This window comes from Homo sapiens, chromosome 1 (assembly GCF_000001405.40).
Source record: "Homo sapiens chromosome 1, GRCh38.p14 Primary Assembly".
NCBI classification, from domain to species: Eukaryota; Metazoa; Chordata; class Mammalia; order Primates; family Hominidae; genus Homo; species Homo sapiens.
Window position 1 is genome coordinate 66,613,700 of NC_000001.11, and position 19,886 is coordinate 66,633,585.

General features: G+C 38.5%; 1 protein-coding gene and 1 non-coding gene across 56 annotated transcripts in view; both read left to right on the top strand.

The window, feature by feature from the left end:
• The window catches only part of SGIP1 (SH3GL interacting endocytic adaptor 1), a 217,779-nt gene that overhangs the window by 80,339 nt on the left and 117,554 nt on the right, over positions 1-19,886 (top strand). For all 55 annotated transcript variants that reach the window (XR_007064415.1, NM_001376535.1, NM_001376549.1 and 52 more), the window contains 2 exons: positions 12,148-12,211; positions 19,371-19,395. Coding sequence is in view for 54 of the 55 variants with exons in the window: in NM_001376535.1 (NP_001363464.1) it covers positions 12,148-12,211; positions 19,371-19,395 (89 nt within the window). In the remaining variant the exon portion in view is untranslated. The remainder of the gene's footprint in view (positions 1-12,147; positions 12,212-19,370; positions 19,396-19,886) is intronic.
• MIR3117 (microRNA 3117) lies at positions 14,741-14,818 on the top strand. The gene has a single exon (NR_036060.1). It is a non-coding gene; the product is annotated as a microRNA 3117 (primary transcript).

The window sequence follows — 19,886 nt, forward strand, 5'->3', positions numbered from 1 at the left end:
TCACTCTTCACCTCAAACACCACGCAATAATGCATATACGCACCTTTGATAAGTAGATGACTAAAGTGGGTAACAGTGACCTAATGGAAAGAGTGCTTCAGGCTTTTAGTAACTGGTCTCTGATTGCACATAATTAGAGGGTAATATTAGATGTTGTATCTCTAGTTAGAAAAGTCTCTGGCACATGATAGATGCTCAACAGGTTCCTTTTCTACTGACCACTGATTGAGAAGATGAAGATATCTTCTGATAGTGATGCCAAATGCTCCAGAGCTTGGATGACTCTAAGCATTGAAAGAAATGCTAGAGTCATATCCCTGCCCTATACTGGATAATTGGTGAAGAAAATACCAGTGATGAGAAAAATTATCATTCTAATCTTGCCAGTTGAATATGAGGACCTAGGATCTGAGAATCATTAGTAGAGCAACAAATATGTATTTAAATGTTTGAAATAGAAGATCTGTAAGTAAAGACAGAGAATAATGACATGACTGTTTACTCTAAAATTCTGAAGGGATGGCTTAATAAATCTGCAAGCCTGCCAAGGGTTAATTTTCCAAGAGAGTTGACTTGAGGAAAGACTAAGGGAGAGCAGGTGTTCACTGTAACTTGATGGATTTAAGTGATCCAACAGGATGAATTTCATGACAGTGAATTTATGTTACCTATTGTGATTTATAGCCAAAGGATGGATGGATGGAGGACAGATGAATAAATATATTGATGGTCATTATTATTATAAATCTTGCAAACAGGATCACTCTACATGCATCGTGGTAGCCTTTAAGGCCTCTCCAAAGAATTTAGAGCATATACTGCATATTAATTTTCCTTTAAAACTTTTTATTTCTATGTGTGTTTATCTGATGGCTGATTTTTTCAAAAATAATTTCATATTTACATACATAATTTTTAACTTTTTAAACCATTTATATCCCTTTTTAGAAGTAGACTTCATAGATCCTTATTCAATAAAGTTGGCTAATAGCCTGTGGTGTATAGAAAGGGCAGTACCATGTAATCTCCTACTTTATCTACCTCTCTGCCTCCACATGGTAGGTTAGAATTAAACAGAAGAATTCTAATAGGGGCTATGTTCCAGCTGTCTTTTTTTTTTTTTTTTTTTTTTTTTTTGAGATGGAGTTTAGCTCTTGTCACCCAGGCTGGAGTGCAGTGGCGTGATCTCAGCTCACCACAACCTCCGGCTCCCGGGTTCAAGTGATTCTCCTGCCTCAGCCTCCCAAGTAGCTGGGATTACAGGCATGTGCCACCACGCCCGGCTAATTTTGTATTTTTTTAGTAGAGACGGGGTTTCTCCATGTTGGTCAGGCTGGTCTCGAACTCCTGACCTCAGGTGATCCACCCACCTCGGTCTCCTAAAACACTGGGATTACAGGCAGGAGCCTCTGCCCCCGGCCTTTTTTGTTTTGTTTTGTTTTGTTTTTTTCCGAAACGGAATTTTGCTCTTGTTGCCCAGGCTGGAGTGCAATGCTATGAACTTGGCTCACTGCAACCTCTGTCTCCCAGTTTCAAGCTATTCTCCTGCCTCAGCATCCTGAGTAGCTGGGATTACAGGCATGCGCCCTACTCCAGGCTAATTTTCTATTTTTAGTGGAGATGGGATTTCACCGTTTTGGCCAAACTGTTCTCGAACTCCTGACCTCAGGTGACCCGCCTGCCTCAGCCTCCCAAAGTGGTGGAATTACAGGTGTGAGCCACTGCACATGTCCACCAGCTTCCTTTTTAAATTGATCTTTGAATAATTTAACTTGAACGATTAAATGATACATGTAGTAAGAATTTATAGATTTTACCAAAGGACTGGCCCCCTATTCCCTGAATGAAATATGAAAAGGAAAGGGCATATAGAAAAGCATTTCTGGTATTATCCAGTATATTTTCTTTTGAATTCATTTTCTTGTGGAAAATGGAGGGTTTTTTAAACCTCATTTGGTTTGATGAATTACAATTCAATTGAATTTTTCTGTTTATGCCTAAAAAGTCTATCTGAGAAGGACCATTAATTTAAATGCTTTCTACAAGTCATTGTCAGGCCAGGGAGGGACTGGAGATGGAAGGATGTGAAGAAAATAAATGACTGTAGTGTGAGAAAATGGAGGAGAGAAAAAGAAAGTAACCTTTTTACAGATCAAGGTTCTAAGGGAACAGGTCAAATTAATTTACCTAGTGTTTAAAGTATTCTCCTTCATGCAAAACTTGTGTGTCTCCCAAATAGGCTAGGCAGGAAACTCCAAATTCTGTGATATCTCTAACCCAAGTAGAAGGAGCACTGACCTACTTTCAGATCACAATGGAAAGACCAACTGATCAATTGAAGTTTGTAACAGACCTGCACAAAGAGAAGGCTTCATCAATGCTGTATTTTCCTGCTGCATGAAAGAGTTATACTTCTTGTTGTGAGTGTTTTAATCCCCACTTATATTTTATGATAGATGTTAGTCAATGACATCTCTTGAGACTGAGTTTGGTTTTGTTATTATTGCTCTAACAAAGAAAAGCTTGAGGTTTTGAAATTTTGATTATTTTCAAATTTTGATGATTTTCAAATTTTGATGTCATATTTTATTTCTAAAGGAATAGAGTTATGAGGCTCCTGTAAGTGTCATTTAGTGTCTTTTATGTGATCTGTTAAAAGAGCTGATTTCTGGTTGTTTTATAACTATCAAAATTCCAAGAAAAGCAAGAAAAATCTGCATAAAGTGATGTACAATATATTTTAGGTGTCGTACTGGGTTTTTATACTTATTTAAACCTTACAAAAACCTTTTATGATAGATAGCTGAGAAAACTGAGACTCAGAGAAGTCAATAAACTTGTCCTAGGAAGTAGTCCTAGGAACTTGTCTTAGGAAGAAGTTTCCAATCTCAAAGCTCATACTTTACAACTGTGTCTGCTCCCCATGGATCTTTGTACAGTTCTTATAGCTTAACAGAAGTTGACCACCTGCTTAAAATTCTTCCCAATTATATTCAACTGCATCATTACATTAATATTGGCACAGCAAACACCAAGTCCTTTTGTAGCAAACCTATTTCATGACCATCTTCTTTAACATTTTCTTCTATGTCACCAAAAGAATAAATATTTCTCTTTTAAAGTCATTTTTAGCCCCTTGAAGTTCATAATTACCCTCTAGAAATCTCAATTTTAGTGTCTCAGCATGAATTTTTTTGTATCAAATCTGAATTTCAAGTTGTCATTTATATCAGACCCTTTTGCAATCTATTGCTAATGGAGTGTGACCTTAAGATTTCTCCCAAAAGGTTCAGTGCTCAGCTCAGAATGATGAGGTATTATCTTGTAAAGAGGTTTTGTGCATACTTAGTACAGAGATCACCTGGATTTCCTTTAAGTCAAGTAGAAATGTAGGTGAAGCATTCAGACCAAAACCACATGCCGACCGACTTTGAACAGTTCATTTTGGTTAGAATTGCAAATATGTAGAACGGCTTGTAAACATTTACTGAATGACTGCCTTGCACCAGGTACTGCTAGACACTGAACTCTACATTTTCTACTTCCTGGCACTTGCCTTTATGAAGCATCTCTTATACCCTAGGCAGTAGTCTATCCACGGGAAATCATAAATATCATTAAAAAAATCACTGGACCAACTGGCCTCCATCTTAACTGGTCTTATGTCTTTCTGTAAGAACTTCTGATGACAAAGAATCTGAATTGGATTACAGTGACTATATTTAAAGCCTAGAGGAAAAGCTGATACACAAAGCACCTTAATCTTTTCTGACAGAAATACAGTGAGCATCATAATGAAAAGATATAGCCAGTCTAGAGTTGCTGTCAATATGCGGCATTGTGCCCAGGGCAATTAAATTTGCCTGTTTTTTATTACTGAGACCAAATATTTGGCCTGGGTTCCTGCAGAAAATAAGTAATTCCATTACATGTGATTCACCTTTGAGTAACCCTCCAAGTTAATGAAGACTGAAGCTGAAAATTTATATTTATTACAGAAATAATCCATTTAGCAAATATTTATGGGGTCCCTTTATGTTCACTGGGCAGTATATAAAGATTTAAACATGCAAAATACAGCCTTTGTGTATAAGAAATGTGCAGCCTAACTTGCCTAAAAATATCTCTCCATTTTTTCAAAAAAATCGCATTCTTGTTTTTTGTTTTTAATAAGAGGATAAAATAAATTATGATGACTAACAAAAGATATTCTGAAGTCACGAGGAGCCTGGACTCTGGAGTCAGGCAGAGGGTGTTTTAAAATGTGATCTGCTATTTATCACCTGTGTGACCTGGCATCAGGTGCTTCTCATGCGCCATGATATAGAATCAATATAATAGCTCCCATCTTATTAAATTGTGTTGAACTAAGATAAGAAAATTCCTGATAAATTTCCTGAAACATCACAACTACTCAGTACATTATGTCTATTAATTTTTTTATGATACATGTTTTGAGCTAAATTGAGTTTTTAGTGTATCATTGTGCACATTTCCCACCTAAAATGTAATGTGGCCTTAGCAAATCCCTCACTCTGAGTCCCTGCTCTCTGGCCGAAGGCCTGTGTACTCAGATTGGTCCATCTGGTATAGTTTGGGGCTCCTTCTCCTCCTTCCCTAATGCATCTATATACACAAATAAATATCAAAAAACTGGCCACCAATGGAATGTAGATTGCAAACATCAGCAAAAGTCATTAGTTTAAAAAAAATGATTATATAAACACTAAGCAGCTTTTTAAGAAATTGTTTAACAAACATTGATGACATGTCTTCTGTGCACTAGGTACTGCAATAATCATCATGACCATTCTGAAAGAAGTTGCTTGACTCTGGAGCCAAACAGACCTAGCTCAACATCTTGGTCTTGTTACTCATTTGTTTAGTGACTTTGAAAGAGAAACTTACTCACTTTGAGTCTGTTTCTTAATCCAAAGACAGGGAGTTAGTAATACCTTCTGAGGTTGTTGAAAGAATTGGTCTGCATTAAAGTGCTTGACACAGTGCCTGGCACATGCAAGGTTCTCAGTAAACAAGAGCTGCCTTTCCCTCACCCCTAGTGATTACAGAGAGAGAATTAAGATTGTCCCTCCAAATCGCATATCTTGTGAGAACACGAATCTTATATGGAAAGTAGCACGGTACCTCTTAGACTCTCTATCAATGTTGCTGCAAATGATAGCTGGAAGGCAGTCAAATTGGGTTTTAAACCCAGATCTTTGGATTCTGAGTATGGTCACATATTTTGTTCCCTTCCACCCTGTCACCCTACTTCAGTTTTTGGAAGCACGCATTTGCATGCTTCTGGGGGAGATACGTGAGGAACAGATTGCATTCCACTATTAACTGGGTTCTACATATTGATCCTAAAGAGCGGTCATTGCCAACTTACCTCCTCTTCTTAAAGCTCCTCTTCTTCTCCAGAGCTCTAGGTCACTCCTAGAGCTGGCTTTGTTCCTAGTCCTTGTCTTGTCCAAGCTCTGTTTAAAAGCACAGTGAGGGATGAGAGGCAGGAGGAGCAAATGCACCTCAGGAACATGATCTCCAAAAGTGGTGCCTTTTCAACAATTTTAAAGGCAGTACATTTATATAGAGGTTCTAACACCACAATAAAGAGCTATTAGAGAAAGCAATGTGTAGCAAGACTATGAGGTGAGTAAGGAAGGTGGGTAAAAAAGAAGTGCTTTCAAAGACGGAACGCCCTCTCCCGCAGGCTCCGCCTGCCCCAGTGTTAGAACCTGGCTTTGTCTTTGGCTCTTCTCTGGTTTGTACCTGCCCCACCTCTCTTCCCACCCCAGTCCCTTTAAGTTAGCTTGGGTGATAAGCTAAGATGCTGATAGGAAGGTGATCATTCTACATGTCTGCTAAGATGCTGATAGGAAGGTGACCATTCTACATTTGGCCTCTCCATGTTGTTCTGTTACCAGCTAGCAATGGAATGGCAGGAATACAGGACAAGGAGAGAAAGGAGGGGTTATTGGCAGGACTCTCCACTTACACTTCTAGGAGACAGCATCATGGGTTAAGGCCAGCAGCGTCTTGTGTCTGGTCCTCAGTTTCTGCCTACAGAATGCAAACACCTCAGTGTCTTCTGTTTGGGACTCAGCTCCAGGAGTGTGACCTCCACTTGGCGATCTACAGAAACAGTCTTCATTTGTATGGAGAAAAATATTTCAGGTGTGTTTTAAAAATAAAATAAAATAGAAATAAAACTAAACAAGCAAAAACTCTGTAGGTTCTTTGGAGTATGAGACTTTGATGTTTTACCTAAAATTAGTATAGAGTCCAAGTTTCCTTTCTAAAGGTTTCCTCTAAACAATTCTCCTTTCAGTGTAACATTTAAAAGTGGCTCAAATTCAAAATTTGATGTTTACTTAATGGATCCCTACAATTCCTATCAGCTGTACTCAGGAGAAAAGAAAATGGATAAAGATAGTTTATTTTTTCTGCTGTACTGTTTCTTCTTCACCTGCAGGTCTGTATACTCTTAAAGCCAGGAAATTCTAAGGTACTTTGTGGGAGTTTTTTTAGTTAGTTTAGGGAAGCTTCAGAGAAAAACACCAGTAAACACACTAATTTTTGTTTCAAGTTAAAAAGGTTATTTTTAAAAAGTTTTTTAAAAAAATGTCTTTCAAACTATTCTTGACCTGCAATCTATCATAATGTACTAGCCGTTCTGACACTGTTATAAAGATACTACCCAAGACTGGGTAATTTATAAAGAAAGGAGGTTTAATTGACTCACAGTTCCACATGGCTGGGGAGGCCTCAGGAAACTCACAATCATGGTAGAAGGTGAAGGGGAAGCAAGGCACGTCTTACATGGCAGCAGAGAAGAGAGACAGAGAGACAGAGAGAGAGAGTGGGAGGAGGAGATGTGCCACACTTAAAGCATAAACTCTTGTGAGAACTCTCTCACCAGCATGGGGGAAATTGCTCCCATGATCCAATCACCTCCCATCAGGTCCCTCCCTTGACATGTGGGGATTACAATTCCAGATGTGATTTGAGTGGGGACATAAAGCCAAACCATGTCACATAAGAAATGTATTTTATATCACCATCCAATTTGGCCAAGAGTTTCATGAAACAGTATTTATCCTTTCTATAGGCAATGCACGTTTTTCTGTTTCATTTTAAAATTGAGGTTTTGCCCTAACAAACCGCCTTCACAGGCTTCCAATGGGGCCTTATTTGCAGTTTGAAAAGGGGATTGAGAAATACTGCCTCTCTTTTAACACAATTGAGCCAATTATTTTAAAGAATGTTCTTTTCATGCAACATGGGGAGGTGAAAATAAACAAGATGCCCGCATGGATGGAGCTGCTGACTTCATGGAGCTCACCATCTAGTGGGATTAATATAACATTGTGATTTTAGGAGAACAGATCAAAGGAGCAAGCATCATGACAAAAATGCATTTGCTTATGAAAAGCTTTTTGCAAACTTCTGATACATGAGTGAGAAAAGCTGGATGTCTGCTGTAAATTCTCATGGAAATATTACTTTCTTGATTCTGAAGGTCACTATGAACAGGAATTTGTGACCGTATTGATGTCTTTACTAAATATCTGACAACTTTGGCAAAACAAGACAAAAACCAAAAGCAGTAACATGTGCCACAAACTTTTAAGCCAATCTGCCTTGTTTCTTTCCTTTCTTCCCCACTTGTTCCCATCCTTGTCCTCCCTTGTCACAGAATAATCTGGCTTGAACTATTCCATTTCTTTTTTATCATGGTAAAATACACACAAAATAAAATTTTCCATTTTGGCCATTTTAGAGTGTAAAACTCAGTGGCATTTAGTACATTCTCAATGTCATGCAACATAACCACCATCAAGTTCCAGAACTTTATATCACCCCAAAAGGAAATCTGTATTCGTTAAGCAGCCATTCCCCTTTCCCACTCCACTCGGCCTCTGTCAACCTCCAATCTGCTTTCTGTATTAATGAATTTGCCTACTCTGGAAATTTCATATAAATGAAATCACGTAATACGTGGCTCTTTGCGTTTGGCTCCCTTCATTTAGCATAGTATTTTCAAGGTTCATTCACGTTGCAGCCTGTATAAGTACTTTTTTCCTTTTTATGGCTGAATAGTATTCCATTGCATGGCTAGGCCACATTTTGCTTATCCATTTATCTGTTGATGGAGAGCCATTTCATTGTAAAAGGAATTTTACTCACAAAATAATTAGAAACTAAATGATTGGGCATATCTTTGCAGCTTTTATTACATATGTATTAAAAGTAGAGTCTGAAGGTTTTTGAAGAAATCTGATGTCTCTGTAGGAGCCTGAGTATGAGAAGTACTCTGTATTCAGAAGCTCATGAGATTGTGCTGGGCCTCACCTATAAATTCAGGATTTATCTGCATACATATGATGAATGAAACCACGTGAGTGGATGAAATCACCCTCAGAAAAGGATATAGAATTGCCTAGGACAAAGCCCTGAAGAACCCCAACATGCTGGGGAGTACTGGAGTAAGAGTAGCCTCCAGTTTCCTTGCTGGGGATGAAGATAATAAAACCTAACTTAGGCAAACTCTCAGGCTCACTACTTTAGGGAAAAATACCACCTACTTTTTCACAAAGTTTGTAAGAGATTTAAAGGAGGCAACATACGCATCCAGGGCCTGGGCAATAGGTAGGACCTCAGCACTGGTAGCTGGTAGTATTCCAATGACAAAATTTCTTTCTACTCTGTATTTTTGACACTATCACTATCATCGATTTCCACATCTGTTACTTTATTTATCTTATCTGGTAAGACATTGATGATATTTGTCTGGTAACATTATAACCGGGCTGCCTAGTTTGAAATAAGTTTTCAACCTTTTAAAAATCCATCTATATTTAATTTTGTGTGTGTGTGTGTGGTTGTTTCCCACAACACCAAAAGAAGCTAAAGGAATCTGAATTTGGTGGAGAAGTTAGAGGCACAGGCCAGACACACAGTGTGGCAGTTTTGGATCCACATAAGAAAGTGTTCTCAATTCCATAGCTTGGGAGAGAACCATTCTAACCCCAGATTATCAAGACAGTAAAATTATTTCCCTTTAGATGTTTTTGTTTTGATGTTGGCAAGGGAAGAGTCATCACATTTCTTAAGGGACGCTTAGTTTTTGCCCTCCCATTTTTGGTAAAAAATAGTTGACAAAAAAATTTGTGCTCCACCCTAGATGCAATTATATTGTAATCATAACTACCTGAAGTCAAAAATCATTGGATATACTGTTTTTAAAACTTATCGGATTATTGAACATAGTCTCTTAAATTTGTTATTCCTATAAGATCCTTGACTATTGCTGCTCTTTGTTGAAGAGTTTCAATATTTTTTGATGAATTCTCAAAAGACATGAACACACTTCCCTTCACTCAATTTTAACACAGTTGGTGTGATTGTTTTCTCCTTGGATCTTCTGAAAGATTCATTAAGATATGAATAACTTACTTTCATAACTTCATTTGCTTTAGTCTTTCAGTTTTCTTCATATTTTTTGTAAACTTCTTAAACCTTTCCACTTTTGAAGAAGTAAAAAGTTTTCAACCTTTTTTTTTTGGAGATGAAGTCTCACTCTGTCACCCAGGCTGGAGTGCAATGGCCTGATCTTGACTCACTACAACCTCTGCCTCCCAGATTCAAGCAATTCTCCCATCTCAGCCTCCCAAGTAGCTGGGACTACAGGTGTGCACCACCACTCAGGCTAATTCTTTTGTATTTTTAGTAGAGACGGGGTTTCACCATGTTGGCCAGGCTGGTCTCAAACTCCTGACCTCAAGTGATCCACCCGCCTCAGCCTCCCACAGGGCTAGGATTACAGGCATAGGCTACTGCACCTGGCCCAAACTTTTTTTCTTATTCAACAATTTGATTAGGGCATTTTTTTTCTAGAATTTCACATATTGTGGTGTATGCCTATTGACATTCTATGTATAAGTGTATTTCATGTGTTAAAAACATCATTTCCAGTGAAAGTAAAGCTACAGATATAGGCATGGCATTTTGTGAAGGTGTGCAGATTCTTTCGTCTCTTATCGTTGGCTGATTTGTTATAGGCTGAGAGGTTGAAACATAAAGGTAATGTAACTTGTATTAAGCTATGCAATTAGAACTGATGCTGGGAATGGACTCTCTGCCTCCTGGATCCTGATTCAGTGCATTTTTTTCACTGGAAAGTGGACAACACATGATGTTCATGACCTAGTTCATGTTGGCTATTGTCCAAACTTGGTGGTCAAAACCAGCACAGGGTCTGTGGAAAACTACTATTTCCTGTTCTGTTACCAATTTAATACAAAGAGTACTGGAATGTGTGTGTATTTTCTGATATATTTGGTAAGGCATGCTATTTTTTATCTCATAGGTCAAGTTACAGGAAGTAAAGCACTTGAAACCCTGAGATGATAATAGCATTGGTTTTACAGTCCTGTAAAAACCAGTGGTGATTGCTGAATATGGCATTCATTGTGAGCTCGAAGCTAAAACAGAAGCAAAGAGAAGCCAATTAGGAGACTTGAAAACCAAGGAAAATAGTAGGGATAGACTGATGATTATGTAACTATGATACTTTGTCCTTATAAGGGAATAAGACAATTAGAGGTGAGAAAGAAGTTTTTAATAAACAAAATGAAAAATAAAAGGGGAGAAGGTGTTTCTTAATATTATGGGTGGGTAGTTTTAAATGTCAATACATTTTCCTATAAACTCCTCATGTGGAGAGTAACGGAAAATAGTTTTATATGGGAGGACTTTTTTAAAAATTGACATTTTAAAGACCTAAGTGTCTTAAATGGATGACTATTAAAATACAAAATTAGACAGAACAGAGACATTTTGAAGATTGTATTTGAGTAGTATCCTAAGAGGCAGATAATGAATGACTCAGATAGTCTGAGTGGTTTGGGCTGACTCACATGTTTTGGAAAAATGTATCATCAACTCACTGAATCTGTCATTGTTTTTCCCTTTGTTCCACCTGGTAGTACCAAACAAATTTGAAATATCAGTGACTTTCTCAGCTCCAATTTCTCAAGAAGACTTTCCAAACCACCAATAATAAGTCTAAGGTTTGAATATATAAACATTTAGTATATTTGAATAATACTCACTAACAGAAGCACAAGGCATGTCTGTAACTATGGAACATGTGAGGGATGGGAAACACAAACAGCCTTGACAAGAGAAGTACAGAAGAACCAAGACTGGGCTTGGCTTGTCAGGATGGAAGAAAAGGGCTTTCTTAGCCAGTGCTGCTTGAATGGTGCTTCCTGGAAGATATTTGAAATCACAAATATTATCTGGACTTATAAATGAGGGAGCCTTGGCCTTTGTTCAAGAAAGGATCACAGCCTACTAGGGAAACTGACACAGGGACTAATAGGTGATACCATTTGATATATCATAATACATATAAGAGCAACATTTTGTGGGGAGCATAGAGTAGTCAGTGTCTTACGCCTCTAGGATTAAGAAGCCCTGCAGAAGGAGAGACATTTGGTCTGGGCCTTAAAGGATGAATTGAAATTCTAAACGTCCACAAAATAGAAAAAGCATTTCAACTGTAAGTAAGGACCGAACAAGAAAGAAAGAGACACAGGAGTGCAAATTTTGGGGTGTGTTCAGAGAATGGTTAATAATTCAATGCAGCCACAGACTGGAGGAAGCAGTAAAAGATAAGATGGGAATACGAGACACAAAGATGTGTCAGATCTGTGCAGTTCTCTTGGCATGGGCCACATGATCCATGTCTTGGCATTATCCCAGTCTAAAGAATATGTCTAACCTGAAAATGGCTATTCTTCTAAATCTGTGATTTGGCTTCCTGGCAGAACCCCAATATGGGTGATGAACAACAGTAGTCTAAGAAAATCTTGCAATCTTTTCTATACCCATGTATCCATATATCCTTATGTTGCTTATAGTGCTAAGAACTTATGGTATGAAGTCCTTGATAAGTAACTATTGAAAAAATGTAATAATGAATCATATGGACATGCAGACACACATACCTTTACATACAACTTCAGAAACTTCATTGCTTTCTAAACATTTAAGTCTAACTGGTGTGTTACAACCTTCAAAATATGTTCACTTGAATGTTGCTGAGAGAGTTTTTGACCCTTTGCTGTTTTCCCACAGGATTGAAAAAACGTACAAGGAAGGCCTTTGGAATACGGAAGAAAGAAAAGGACACTGATTCTACGTATGTACTTTAGGAGTTTGCCTCCTCGAAGAAGCTATTTGCATAAGAGATGCTCTTATCACAGTCAATATAAGATGGCCACAGTTTTCTCGGATATTGTGTACTATTTGCTTTCCTCATTTCTGAGTAAATTGTAATTATTCAATATAAACAGTTCTTAGATTTATGCTAAAAAGGTAAAAATTTTTCATCATGTGTTCAGTTTTTATCACATTTTTCTTTCTTTCTTTTTTTTTTTTTTTTTTTTTTGATCATTACACTTCCCAGCAGTCTCAGGAGGCAGAAAATGTGACTGTTACTTTTATGAAGGATAAAAATAATTCATTTCCACATATAGGGTTGACCTTACAATCTGAACTAAAGAAACAACAAAACACCTGTTTGGATAGATTAGACCTAGCCAGAAACAGAAATGTAGACTAGATAACATCTCCAAGCTCTTACTTGAGATGCCAAGATTTTGTACAAGCCAAATTGTAAATCAACCAACAGAATTCAGGAATTATTGGATATTTAGCAGTGAATAAGAAACAAATGCCAGAAACAACTGTGGGGATGCTTTTACATATTTAAGTGTCATATCCAAGAGAATTAATTGCCCACAGACACTGATAGACTCTGAAAATGTGCAATGACATAACAGTTTCATTCCACAAACTTCCTTCCACTTATTTGACCATCTTGAATTCTCCTGCAGAAGTATTTGGCTCTGACACAAAACCTCAGTTGCCTTTTGCAGCCAAGCAGGTAACTTATATATGTGAAGTCCACTGGCCGGGAACTTGAGACTCCAGCCCAAGACCAGTGTAGGGAGAGCACAACTATTCAGCTGCAGGTGGTTGTGACCAGGTAGAAATGCAGAACTGATGTAGTTTGCTGTACGTCAGAATCAAGCCCATTATACCCCTCATTTGGCTAGAATCTCTGAAAGAAAGTTAGAAAATGGGAAAAGCAACAGTTGTATGGGCACAGGTGAAAATGAAGAAAGCCACATTTATTCTCACCTTTAGCTTTTCATTCTGTATATTTTTATCATGCGTAAATTTTGTCACAAGATCCTGAGTATTTCCCTGGGCCCTTGTCCTTTAAGAATTTATGATTCATGAGATAAAATATCTACTACATAAATTATTGTTTGTACAACTAATGAGGTAACATATTTGAAATGACTAATATGGTACCTAATACTTAGTAAATGCTCAGCAAATGGCAGTTGCTGGTACTCTTATTATTACTGACACAAATTAGTATGTGTAAGTTCCTTACAAGCAACTAAGATGGGATTTCATGGGAATTTGAGGGTGAAAAATCTCATATTTGGATTGATGATCAGTGATGCTTCGGGGTGGGGGAGGAGACTTGAGTTTGGCCTTCAAGAAGATGAGGATGTGTATTTCATGCAAAGGGAACAACAAAAGCAAAAGTGGAAAGGTAGTAAAGTCCACTAGGCATTTACTGACAAGACAAATGGGGCAGTTTGTCTACTTGGGGTTACAGGTAAATGTGATAATGGAAGGCAAGGCTGGAAAGGAGACCAGGACCAGATAGGAAGGGCCTTAAGTACCAGGCTGAAGTGTGTGGGCTACTTCCATAGGCAGTGGGCCACCTTGAAACCATGAAAGTTTTTAAGCCAAAGAGTGCAAAGGATTGGGCGAACAAAGTTATTTTTTGTCTAGATGCCAAATGTTAAGTTCTTATATTTTCTTTTTGCATTTTCTTTTGTAACTATTTATTTCAAGAATATTACATTTACTGTTGTCCTGCAAATTTTTCTAAATAATTAAGTTAGCAATATTTTTCTGAGGATTATATAATTTACATTGTTTCTTAAGAAGTTTGCCATTTTCTTTCTTATACTTTAAGTTCTAGGGTACAATGTGCACAACGTGCAGGTTTGTTACATATGTATACATGTGCCATGTTGGTGTGCTGCATCCATTAACTCGTCATTAACATTAGGTATATCTCCTAATGCTATCCCTCCCCCCTCCCCCACCCCACAACAGGCCCCGGTGTGTGATGTTCCCCTTCCTGTGTTCAAGTGTTCTCATTGTTCAATTCCCACCTATGAGTGAGAACATGTGGTGTTTGATTTTTTGTCCTCGCGATAGTTTGCTGAGAATGATGGTTTCCAGCTTCATCCACGTCCCTACAAAGGACATGAACTCATTATTTTTTATGGCTGCATAGTATTCCATGGTGTATATGTGCCACATTTTCTTAATCCAGTCTATCATTGTTAGACATTTGGGTTGATTCCAAGTCTTTGCTATTGTGAATAGTGCCACAATAAACATACGTGTGCATGTGTCTTTATAGCAGCATGATTTATATTCCCTTGCCATTTTCTAATCATTAACCACCCAGAATATGTGATGATGCCTTCACTAGATCAGAAGACCTGGGCTGTAGTCCCAGCATTGCCAAAACTCCATGGCTTTGGGAATTACCCTTTACTTTGCTGGGCCTCAGTTTCCACACCTGTAAACAACAACAACAAAGAAATTTACACTAGATGGAATCGAATTTCCCTAAAGGGCCAGACACTATACGAGTCATATAAGGGAAGGCATTATAGGACTCATATAGTGCCAGGTGTTTTGTGGGACACTATTCGATGGATCTCAGGAGAACATCGTTAATGGAAACCAAATCCATTTCTGAATGAAGACAATGTCTGTAATTGACTGCACCAGAGATTTCTGGCATGTGAGGAAAGTTGGAATGGAAAAAAGCTTTCTCGAGAGAGAAAAGGTTGAACAACCTCTACAGGGCAGGCTGAACTAATTTACATGTAGCCAAAGCACTACTCTTCCATCATCATTTCTAAAGTTATTAAAATAACTGAGTTATTCCTCACAGCTACGGGTAGAGGCCCAATATCTCTCTGAGGTACTCTAACGAGACATTTGTTTAAAGAATCCCAAGTATCCTTCCTTAACTTATCATTTGAGAGTCCCAAATTACTTACGTGATAGCAAAATAGCTGAAGCTGGTTCCACCATCAGTGATGGTCAAAGGACAAGCTGTTTAGTATGTTTAGTATAAGCCTTTGCTTTTCATGAACTCCCTAATGCTTTCGTGAACTCTGTAATTGGATCATATATCATTCTCAGAAAAGAAATCATAAATGCAAAGGGGTTGGGAAAGCACTCTAGCAATTTGCTGTCCCTTCAGCTTTAGTAAATGCTTGTGTTTGTCTGTGATCATTGAAGCCTTGTTGATGCAAACTGTTTTCAGGGCTGCTACAACTCACTGTGGGTTGCTCAGCAACCTGCTAGGGTAGACACACCAGCACCAACTTCAGCTGATTGAACCTCCTAAGATATACAGTGGGGTTAGGACCAGAATTTCCTGATTTGGTCATCATTACAGCAGCTGATAGAGGAAGGGAGAGAGGTTGTGCTAAGTGGAAGGCCCTGTGCAGGACATATGTTGCGCTGATATCTTTTTTAGTCTTCCTAGTAATTAAATAAGGTTAGCAGTAATACATCAATTTTAAAGAGAAATATCAGTGCCAAAGGGGGATAAGTAACTTTCTGAAGGCTACCCACAAACTAAGACTTGGAGGCCATATTCTAGTCTAAAATCCAGTGTCTGTGCTTTCATCACCCAAAAGAAAAGATATCAATGGGTAGAATTAAAATCCAGACAGATAGGAGGGTAAAAAAAAAAGACAGTAGTTACAAAAGGTAACTGAAACTTTAAAATATAGATGCCAAAAGTCCATGGTAGATGATTCTTTTTAAAATAGAAGTCAGCAAATACAATAAGTCTGCCATGAAAAAGAAAAAAATTATTTTAAAATACAATATAAAACCTCATTAGAGGGGGTTAGAAAGTGAAATTAGAACACATGCCCAAGTGTCTGAGGCTGCTAAAATCTCTTCACTCCCTAACCTGGGTCATAGTGTATAAAAATTATTATTCTAGAAAACATTTAATGAGCATTTACTATGTTCTAGAGACTGTCTCAGGTTCTTCACTTATGTTAGTCCACTGAATCCTCTAATAGCCCTATGGGATATATGCTGTTATGATGGCTATTTTATAGATGAAGAAACTGAGAAACAAAGGGGTGAAGTAACTTGCCCAAGCTTCTGCAGCTAGGAAATCGACATTGGTTGATCCCATGCAGTCTGGCACTGGAGCCGGTGCCCTTAGCCACCATGCTGACTGACTCCACAGGACACATGAGCCACATTTCCATCAGTCGAGAAGACAAAGGATCAGAATAGGACTCCAGTGCTGCTATGTACAATCACAGTTTCTCTGATTAAAAATTGTGGAAGACCATCCCAACGGCTGCAATAAGCATGAGGTCAAATGCCTCCCATTTAAGATCCCCTACTGATATGACCTTGTACCTGGATTCACAGTGAGCAACACCACAGCCAGGCCAATCTCCGAGCTTTTGCCGCATCTATTTCTTGCTGTTCCCAAAGGCATCTCCACATGGATCAGTGCCTCTAAACACATCCTACCCAAAAGTTGATGCAATCACTTCTCTCCCAGCTCCATTAGCAGAGGTTGAAGTCCTAGTAAGAATTACTCATATGTGGAGATATTAAGTCCTAGTAAGTTGAAGTCCTAGTAAGAAATACTCAGTATATTGGCCAGGCACCGTGGCTCACACCTGTAATTCCAGCACTTTGGGAAGCTGAGGTAGGTGGATTACCTGATGTCAAGAGTTTGAGACCAGCCTGGCCAACATGGTGAAACTGCTTCTCTACTAAAAATACAAAATTAGCTGGGCGTGGTGATGCATGCCTATAATCTCAGCTACTTGGGAGGCTGAGCCAGGAGAATCACTTGAGCCTGGGAGGCAGAGATTGCAGTGAGCTGAGATTTTGCCATTGCACACCAGCCTGGGTGACAAGAGCAAAACTCCGGAAAGAAAGAAAGAAAGAAAGAAAGAAAGAAAGAAAGAAAGAAAGAAAGAAAGAAAGAAAGAAAGAAAGAAAGAAAGAAAGAAAGAAAGAAAGAAAGAAAGAAGGGAGGGAGGGAGGGAGGAAGGAAGGAAGGAAAGAAAGAGAGAAAGAAAGAGAAAGAAAGAAAGAGAGGAAAGAGAGGAAGAAGGAAGGAAGGGAAAGGAAAGGAAGGAAGGGAAAGGAAAGGAAGGAAGGAAGAAAGGAAGAAAGAAAGAAAGAAAGAAAGAAAGAAAGAAAGAAAGAAAGAAAGAAAGAAAGAAAAAAAGAAAGACTGACTCAGTATATAGATACAAAAAGAGAATTGGCTTTGATGAGTATGGATTGGTACCTATCCTCAGTGCTCTCCTGCTAGCCTGGGCTTACTATGACCATGATAACCCACTGGATTTACTCACCCATTTCATTCTCTCTGAGATTAATATGTTTTCATTATTTTTATCCTTTGGTCCTAACCAATCACCTGGCTCATTACAAGCACTTTTGTTGGCCAAGATTCTTCCTATCATTCTATTTTAAATAAAATTTTTTCAAACTGGTTAATTTCCACATCCAGGTAATGTCCAAAAGTCTCAAGATTTCTGTCAATTCCCATGGTCTTTCAATATCAGAATCTTCTCTGTTTCTTGTCCCTGTATCACTGATTCACCTCTGCATCTGTGTGGACACAGAACTCACTAGTTATGAAAAATATGCACTCTGTCAAGTGTATTATAATCCAAGTAGAATATTCTGCTAATTTTGAAGGGATGTTGGTGGGGAAAGGGAATCACACCTTGGAGTCCAGATGGCATCCTACCAACTCTCTGCATTGCTCTCTCTCTCTCTTTCTCTCTCTCTCTTTCTCTCTCTCTCTCTCTCTCTCTCTCTCTCTCTCTCTCTCTCTCTCTTCTCACGGGCTCCCTGCCATGAAGCAATAATTTTCTTACCTGATTGCACCTTCCGAAGAATGGTTCCAACCCCACACCAAACTCCTCAAGACATCAAAGTTCACCTCAAGCACTTATTAAGGTTTTCTTCCAAATAATGAGGCTCCCTTTCGAAGCATAATACGTATCGCTGTATGTTTTAGCCTCTTAAAAACTGAATTAAAATGGGAGGTTATAAAATTACTGTGGCTACCTTTTAGTTTCTCCCTCTGCTCTTGTAATCCAGTTTTCCAAAATACCTCTAATACCTCTCCTACACTGCCCTAAAGTCCAGTGTGGCTGTAAGTGGGCAGTTTTGTGTTCCTAGTGAAGAGACATCTTGGAAGAGAAAAGAAATTATAATCAACTCACAGTTTTGAATACCATGTGTCAGGAACTATTGTAAGTTCTCTCTATATATTATCTTATTTAAACTGGCTTAGAGAGGTTAAGTGTTCAAGGTCATAGAACTATTTGGACACCCAGCTTCATCTTACTCGAAAGCCCTTGCTCTTGACCACTGCAGCATAGTGCCACCATAGAATAGCTGCCCCGGGCTTTAGTCATCAGAAGGAGGCATTTAGCAAAATGTTGTTCTCCATTTCCTGCTCTTCTATAATGGAAGGAGAGGTAAACAGAGAAATATGGAGGAAAGTACCAATTCTCAAAATAAAGTTGAAAAATACCACAGAAGCTTTTTCATCTAGGAGGCAATTCAGGACCATTCGCAGAAGAAAAGATAAAACGGCTGGGCTCAGTGATGCTCTCCTGCAATCCCAGCTTCTCGGGAGGCTGGAGCAGAGGTTCGCTGGAGCCCAGCAGTTCAAGGCTGGGTAGTACGCTTTTGATTGCGCCTGTGAATAGCCACTGCACTCCAGCCTGGGCAACATAACCAGACCCCATCTCTCAAAAATACATAGATGAGAGAGCAAATTGGTTTACTTGCCTCATGATAGTTTTAAATGGAGCCAGCTAGAGTGGGACAGTTAGCCAGCTAGAGTGGGATAGTTTTAAATGGAGCCAGCTAGAGTGGAGTCTCTTTAATAAACTCTCCTCTCAAAAATGAACCAAGGCACTACCCTTCCCACATGTGGCTTTGGGCTGCAATTTTTTAATGAGAATTTCCTTCCCACATACACATACCCCACACTTAAATACCACTCAACCAATTTGTTTTGATTTAGTTTTCATTAGCCAGGTTTACTGGGGTGGGAATGCTGGGGAAGGGGAGGATGGTGGTTATTGGTTCTTACTGTTGTACTTTAGTCTATGTGGCAAGAATGATTCCTTATCATAATAGCTATCAATTTCTTTTTGTTACAGAGGTTCACCAGATAGAGATGGAATTGTAAGTATTTAAATAACCATTTTTACTGAGTTTGTGCTTCAATATATGCTATGTTTAAATTTCTCAAAGCCCTTTTTTTTTCCTGTAGGGAAAAAAATAGCTTGAATGACTTTTTGGACCTCTCACTATTGGAATTTTCTATATTAATTGCATGGGACATAAACATAGTCCTGGTCAAGCTAGACTTATTTATGGCATTTACCTAAAACCCTGCCCCAGAGCAGGCAGGAAAACAGATGGTGGGTCACAAGCCAGACAGTTCACGCAGGGGCTGCTCCCATCAACTGTTATTTCATTTCCAATTTAATGATGTAAAAGCTCATTATGGGAGAATGTTTTTCTCCAACAGAGGCCACAAAGTTGTAATGAAGCTGAGATCCAAGAAAATTCAAAGAAGCTTTTCCCCTTTAGTAGTTGTGCTGCAGATACATTTTCTATATTAAATTCAAAAGTAGGAGATGGTCTTGAAAACCACTTAAGCCTGAATTTAC